The sequence below is a fragment of the Homo sapiens genome, chromosome 20 (assembly GCF_000001405.40).
Source record: "Homo sapiens chromosome 20, GRCh38.p14 Primary Assembly".
Lineage (NCBI taxonomy): Eukaryota > Metazoa > Chordata > Mammalia > Primates > Hominidae > Homo > Homo sapiens.
In genome coordinates, this window is record NC_000020.11 from 52,695,877 (window position 1) to 52,702,985 (window position 7,109).

A 7,109-nucleotide genomic window follows, 5' to 3' on the forward strand; every position below is an offset into this window, starting at 1 on the left:
CCACTATTACACAGGTTTCTGTGACATGCAGACAAAAACATTCATAACTAATAACCAGAAAGGACAGCATCTTCTCTTGGGTTTATGACATGAATTTACTGTCTCAAACCCACTGAAGAAAACAACCCCATTGGTTAGTTCATTTCCAAAGGCTCTGCTTATCATCAGATAAGCTGAAATTAAATTTTTTGTATTTGGCAACTGTGCTCCAATATTTAAATGCCAACACTAAATGTTCTAACAAAAGTGGAAATATTGTGCCACTTTTTGGAAGTGCTTGGCAGCTAACAAACTTATCCTGGCATAAACTCTAGGAAGTTGTCTTAATTTTCAAAATTACTCATATGAAGAAGACATACATGTGGCCAACAAGCATATGAAAAAAAGCTCAATATCAGTGATCATTGGAGAAATGCAAGTCAAAACCACAATGACAGTCAGAGTGGCTATGATTAAAAAGTCAAAAAATATCAGATGCTGGCAAGACTGTGGAGAAAAGGGAATGCTTATGCACTGTTGGTGGGAGTGCAAATTAGTTCAACTACTGTGGAAAGCAGTGTGGCTATTCCTTAAAGAGCTAAAAACAGAACTACCATTGGGCTGAGCCATCTCATTACTGGATATATACCCAAAGGAATATAAATCCTCCTACTATAAAGACACATGCACACATATGTTCATTATAGTTCTATTCACAATAGCAAAGACATGGAATCAACCTAAATGCCCATCAGTGATAGACTGGATAAAGAAAATGTGGTACACACACACCGTGGAATACGATACAGCCATAAAAAGAATGCAATCACATCCTTTGCAGGAACATGGATGGAGCTGGAGGCCATTATCCTTAGCAAACTAATGCAGAAACAGAAAACCAAATATTGCATATCCTCATTTGTAAGTGGGAGTTAAATGATGAGAATGCACGGACACAAAGAGGGGAACAACTCACACTGGGGCTTACTTGAGGATGGAGGATGGGAGGAGAGAGAAGAGCAGAAAAAGTAACGATTGGGTACTAGGTTTAGTACCTGGATGACAAAAGAATCTTCACAACAAACCACCATGACACAAATTTACCTATATAACAAACCTGCACGTGTACCCATGAACCTAAAATAAAAGTTTTAAAAAGTTACCCATGTATTTAATGCATGTTTGTTGAAGGCTTAAGATAAGTCCAAGATGGGACAGGGAGTAGGGTATAACAAGAAGAAAACGGAGCTAAGTTCGGTTCTCTGTCCTTGTAAAACTGACAGGCTGAAAGGAAATGTGGATATGAAATTACCAGTGCAGTGAGTGTCATGAAGAAGCACAAAGGTCTAAACAACACTTACTGGGAGTCTCTAAGCTACTCAAGAGATCAGGAAGGGACTTTCCTGAGAAGCTGAGATCTGCATTACGATGTCAAGAGGCAGTATGAGACAGTGGCTATTAAGGTTCTGGGGTAAGATTATGAAGTTTTTGTTTGTTTGAGACAGGCCCTCTGTCACCCAGGTGGGAGTGCGGTGGTGGGATCATATCTCACTGCAGCCTCAAACACCTGGGCTCAAGCCACCCTCCTGCCTCAGCCTCTTGAGTAGCTGTGACCACTGGCATGCACCACCACACCTGGCTAATTTTTTTTTAATTTTTAAAATTTTATGTGGAGATGGGGGTCTCACTATGTTGCCCAGGCTAGTCTTGAACTCCTGACCTCAAGCAGTCCTCCTGCCTCAGTCTCCGAAAGTGCTACGATTATAGGTGAGATAATGAGCTTTTGAGTTCCCCTATTACCTATTCCTAGATGGATGATCTTGAATAATTAATTGCCAAAAGGCTTGATACCTTATTTATTAAAATAATACTTCATAGGGTTAGTGTGAAAATTAAATTGGATAATAGTGTAAACTTGCTGTAAGCCTCAAATATTATAAGCCTTCAAGAAGTGTTAGATTTGTAATTATTAAAAATTCACAGCCGGGTACAGTGGCTCACGCCTGTAATCCCAGCACTTTGGGAGGCTAAGGCAGGCAGATCATGAGGTCAAGAGATCGAGACCATCCTGGCCAACATGATGAAACCCCATCTCTACTAAAAATACAAAAAATTAGCTAAGTGCTGTGGCACGCATGTGTAGGCCCAGCTACTAGGGAGGCTGAGGCAGGAGAATCGCTTGAACCAGGGAGGCAGAGGTTGCAGTGAGCCGAGATTGTGCCACTGCACTCTAGCCTGGCAACAGAGCGAGATGCTGTCTCAAAAAAAAAAAAAAAAAAAAAAAAATCACTAAGGGGAGGAAGGATAAAAAGCAGGGGCATGCACAAACCTGTTTTATGATTTCTCAAAACTTGTTTCTAATTCATCCCTTGCAGGTTACATCATCTGGAGACTGAGAACTTGGGATGCTCCTTGTTCATCCAAGCATTTGAACAAATCCAGTGTCCTTTTTGAGCAAAATATGAGCCCCACCTTTAGAATCTGTGAATCTCCCCTTCAGATGGGAAAGCTGTTTTTGTGGCTAAAATTAGAAATAACCCAAATGTCTATGAAATGATGCATGGATAGATAAAATGTGATATACCCACACAATGGAAAAGTATTTATCAATAAAAAGGACTGAAGTCCTGATACATACTCCAACATGAATAAATATCCAAAACATCATGCTAAGTGAAAGGAGCCAGACACAAAAGACCACGTTCTGTATAATTCCATTTATATAAAATGGCAAAAAACCAAATTCATAAAAACAGAAAATAGATTAGTGCCTAGATTTGAGGGTGAAAAAATTAACTGCATGATCTTTTTGGAGTGATGAAATATTCTATAATGGATTATTGTGATAGTTGCACAACTTCTTAAATTTACTAAATATCATTGAAATGAATAAATTTTTATGTTGCGTACATTATATCCTAATAAATTTATTTTAAAAAACATCCTTTATGACTGAGTTAAATAAACTTGCAAGCTCCTAAATTTGTATGGTAGGATGTTAATTTTTAGTTTAAGACATTTGGTTTCTAAAGATACTGAATCTCCAGAGAAGTCAAATGGAATATTAGCAGTTGGGCTAATCTGAGATATAACCTTGATGAATTTGCTAGGGATGTCTGATGGTTGGGAGGGACATTGAACGTTTTGAGCCAACAAGATCTCTGACTTCCATCCTTATAGTGAACTCTGTTACTTTGGGCAGCATTATCTCATCTACCTGTTGAAATCCCCTTTCTAAGTTATTATCATCAAGATTGTTCAAATAGAAACCAATATTGCTGTATTTTGTCTTTTGTACAGCCATATTTGAAGACATTGGCTGTTAGGTTTCTTGAGATCCCTAAAATGGGATCCCTTAGATCTCATTCCATGAAAATTATTCTCATCGCATGCAGAAAATAATTTTATGATTTGGAAAAACTTGTTTCTAATTCATCCCTTGCAGGTTACATGATCTGGAGACTGAGAACTTGGGACACTCCTTGTTCATCCAAGCGTTTGAACAAATCCAGTGTCCTTCTTGAGCAAAATATGAGCCCCACCTTTAGAATTTGTGAATCTCCCTTTCAGATGGAAAAGCTTTTTTGTGCATTAAATAAACTTGATCCTTAGATCCATATGATCTTCAGGCGAAAATCTCTTCGTGGCCATGAAAGTTTTACTTTTGGTGTATTTGTACATTTTCTCCTATGATACAGGGAGAGACGTAGTTCAATAGGTTTTCCTTTTTGTCTCGACAACTAGGAAAGGCAAAGTTACATTCAATGGTCAGTGTTGCTGTAGCTCTGATGTATAATAATGTCTTATTTGCTGTTCTTTCTCTCTCTGTCATGATTCTATATATAATTGTCTCATTTGTATTATGCTTAATTTAGTGAACTACCTCACATTTTAGGCAGTGAGTGGGTTGCAAATAAAAATAATGAATGCAGCTGAGTGCGGTGGCTAACACCTGTAATTCCAGCACTTTGGGAGGCCGAGGTGGGTGGATCACGAGGTCAGATCGAGATCATCCTGGCTAACACGGTGAAACCCCGTCTCTACTAAAAAATACAAAAAAATTAGCTGGGCGTGGTGGCGGGCAGCTGTAGTCCCAGCTACTCAGGAGGCTGAAGCAGGAGAATGGCGTGAACCCGGGAGGCAGAGGTTGCAGTGAGCCGAGATCGTGCCATTGCACTCCAGCCTGGGTGACAGAGCGAGACTCTGTCTCAAAAAAAAAAAAACAAAAAACACACACACACACACAAGAATGCATAATTTTGTACATTTGCAATTATATTTTTCTGCTTTCGAAATTAACCAACATGGGCAACACCATTGGTGGTGGTTGTCATATACACACATACATATGCAAGCGTGTATGTGTTTTGATATATTAGATATGCAGATATAGGTGTCAACATGAATTCTCAGCTGAAAAATAGGAGTAGCTAGTGAAAATTTGTGGCTAGATTTAAATCTCTAGAAACTGTTCTTTAGAAAGGACACATTAATGCAAAGTAAATTTTACTAGGAAGAACTAATAATTCTCCTGTTATAAACCATACAACATTATTAGGGAGTTAAGTTTAGATTACTTTAAAATACTTGTGGTTGGGGTTCTATGATTTAGACACAATTGTTTCTTTCAAAATTATTTCTCATGACCTCACTATAACTTCAAGGATATCTAATGCCTAAGGAATCAGATCAAAGATGCCACTTGAAATTTCAAAATAGGATACTAAGATATTCCACTGTAGCCTTCTGGCAGCAGTTACATGAGTTCCCTTTCTATCTTTGAAAACTGGTCTTGCCATCTCATAAAGAAGAGTGTGAAATTGAACTTGCAATTAAAAAATAAGCTTCGTTTTTCCCCTCCTCTCCACAAACCTCTCGACACAACCAAATTGAGGGTCATCAGGAAACAGAAGGAAGAGAATGCTGTAAGATTTCAAAGATGCCTGGTAGGAATATTTCTTAATTGAGCCGTGCTTTCGAGCTGCGTGGAATTGTTCTTATTAAAAATTAAGAACAGCAGAGAAGAACATGGGAAGCTCTTCGAGATTAGAGCTTCGTGAGATTTACTTAAAAGGCTTTCATTAGGCACTGGGGTTTCTGAAGCGTATTAAAACCCTACCTATACAAAATATATGGTGCTCTAGCTTTTAGCCCCTTTTCCTAAGAAATATAAAACATGGGCGCTTAAAACAGGAATAGGAAAAGAATATTTTCACAGCGTTCTTTGAAATAAGGTCTACGTGTTCCGATGAGGAAATAATTAGCCCTTTTGTTCTTCTCTCTTTCCCTTCCTTCGTTTTTCGCTGCCTTTGTCAACGCAGGTTAGCACAGGTCCTAGCTGGGGTTTGGTTCTTTATTTTGTTATTATTATATTTTAAAAATCAATTTTCTATCTTGGGTGAATGGAGGAAAGGTTTTCAGCAGGGCTTCTCAAACTTTAATGCGCACATGAATCACCTGGGATCCTGTTAAAATGCAGATTCTGATTTAGTGGGTCTGGGGATGGGGCCTGGGGTTCCGCATTTCTAACAAGCTTCCAGGTGGATGTCAATGCTGCTGATCTGTGGACTGTTCTAGAATAGCAAAGAGATCCAGTAGCCCCTAAATTAAATCGTATGTATCCAATTCCTTTAAAGAAGGTAGGGATGGACTGACTGGGGGAAGAGTGGGGATAGAAAAAAAGGAGAAGAATAAATAAAAACAAAAACCACCATACACACAAATATAAACAGCCTAATTATCTACATTGCTTCAGTTTGATGATTTATCATTCCCGAGTAATTGATGCCGATAATACAAATTTTGTCATATTTTTGTAATACAACTTGGCTTTTGGTAAAGCAATTGGAGTTCAAATACATGATCCTTTAAAGTGCTGAATATGGAACACGCATGTGCACGTACACCCACACACCCACACACACAAACACACACACACACACACACAATGTTGCCAGTCAGAGCTGCCTGCTCTTCTGTATATGTGAGGCCTCATAATTTTCCCCGAAGGATACAAATAACCATGTCGTTAAACATAAGAGTTTTGCCATAGGCAGGGCAGGGGATAGAGGACTGATATTCAACAGAAATTTCAACACTGTGGCCTCGTACCTCACTTGGGGAGCTGGGGTTCAGGAAGAATTCCTTCAACAATAAGATCAAGTGAAAAGATTCATTGGAAAGTATTGGAAGTATTTTGCAAACTATGGAGTGTTGGATAAGTGCTACTTGCTATTATTTTTTCCTGTTTGCATTTGATTTGCTGTATTTTGTTTCATTTAAAAATATCTTTTTGAGTTGTTGCTGGTTCATGCAATTCATGCTGGTTTTATTGTAATTTGCCAATATGCATCAAAACTAAAAATTAAAAGTGTTCGTATACTCCAATCTAGCAAATCCATGGACTGAAATGAATTCTACCTAAACCCTTATGTAAATGTGGAGAGAGATATGTATGAGGAAGGTCATTGCATTATTGCTTGGATGGAAAAAAATCTGAAAACGCCTAAATGTCCTTCAATGGGACTGGCTCTGTGTGTAATGGCACACCCATAGAGTGAAATATTCTGTTGCTACAACCTCCAAATGAGGTGCAACTGAAGTATGAGCGTAGAAAGATATCCTGAATATAAATGTAGTTATGTTTAAAAAGAAAAAAGGAAAAAGAAAACACAAAGAAGATGTCCTGAAATTGGGTTGTCCACTTGTCTGTCAAGCTTTATTTTGCTAGCCTGGTAAAACTCCTGACAAAAATAACACTAAAAGGGTAACAGCAGTGATCACTAGGAAAGGAATTAGAAGGAGGTACATTCTGTTTCTATTTTCATACTTTTCCTTGCTGTATTTCTGGAAAACGGAACATAAATAGAAAAGAGGACAGAATGGACGAGTAACTAGAGGACTTAGATTTGGGTCCCAGTTTGGCTTGGCCGAATAATAGCTTTGGGCAAGTTACTTCACACCTCTGAGCATTTATGTCCTCAAATGTACAATGTGGATTGGGACAATACCACCCCATGGTTTTATTTCTTTGGAAGACTGAATGAAATGCATTAAGCACTTTGTCCTCCACAGAGAACCGAGAATGTCCTTGTTTCTTTTTGCTGCTCTAAACATCACTATGTGATTTG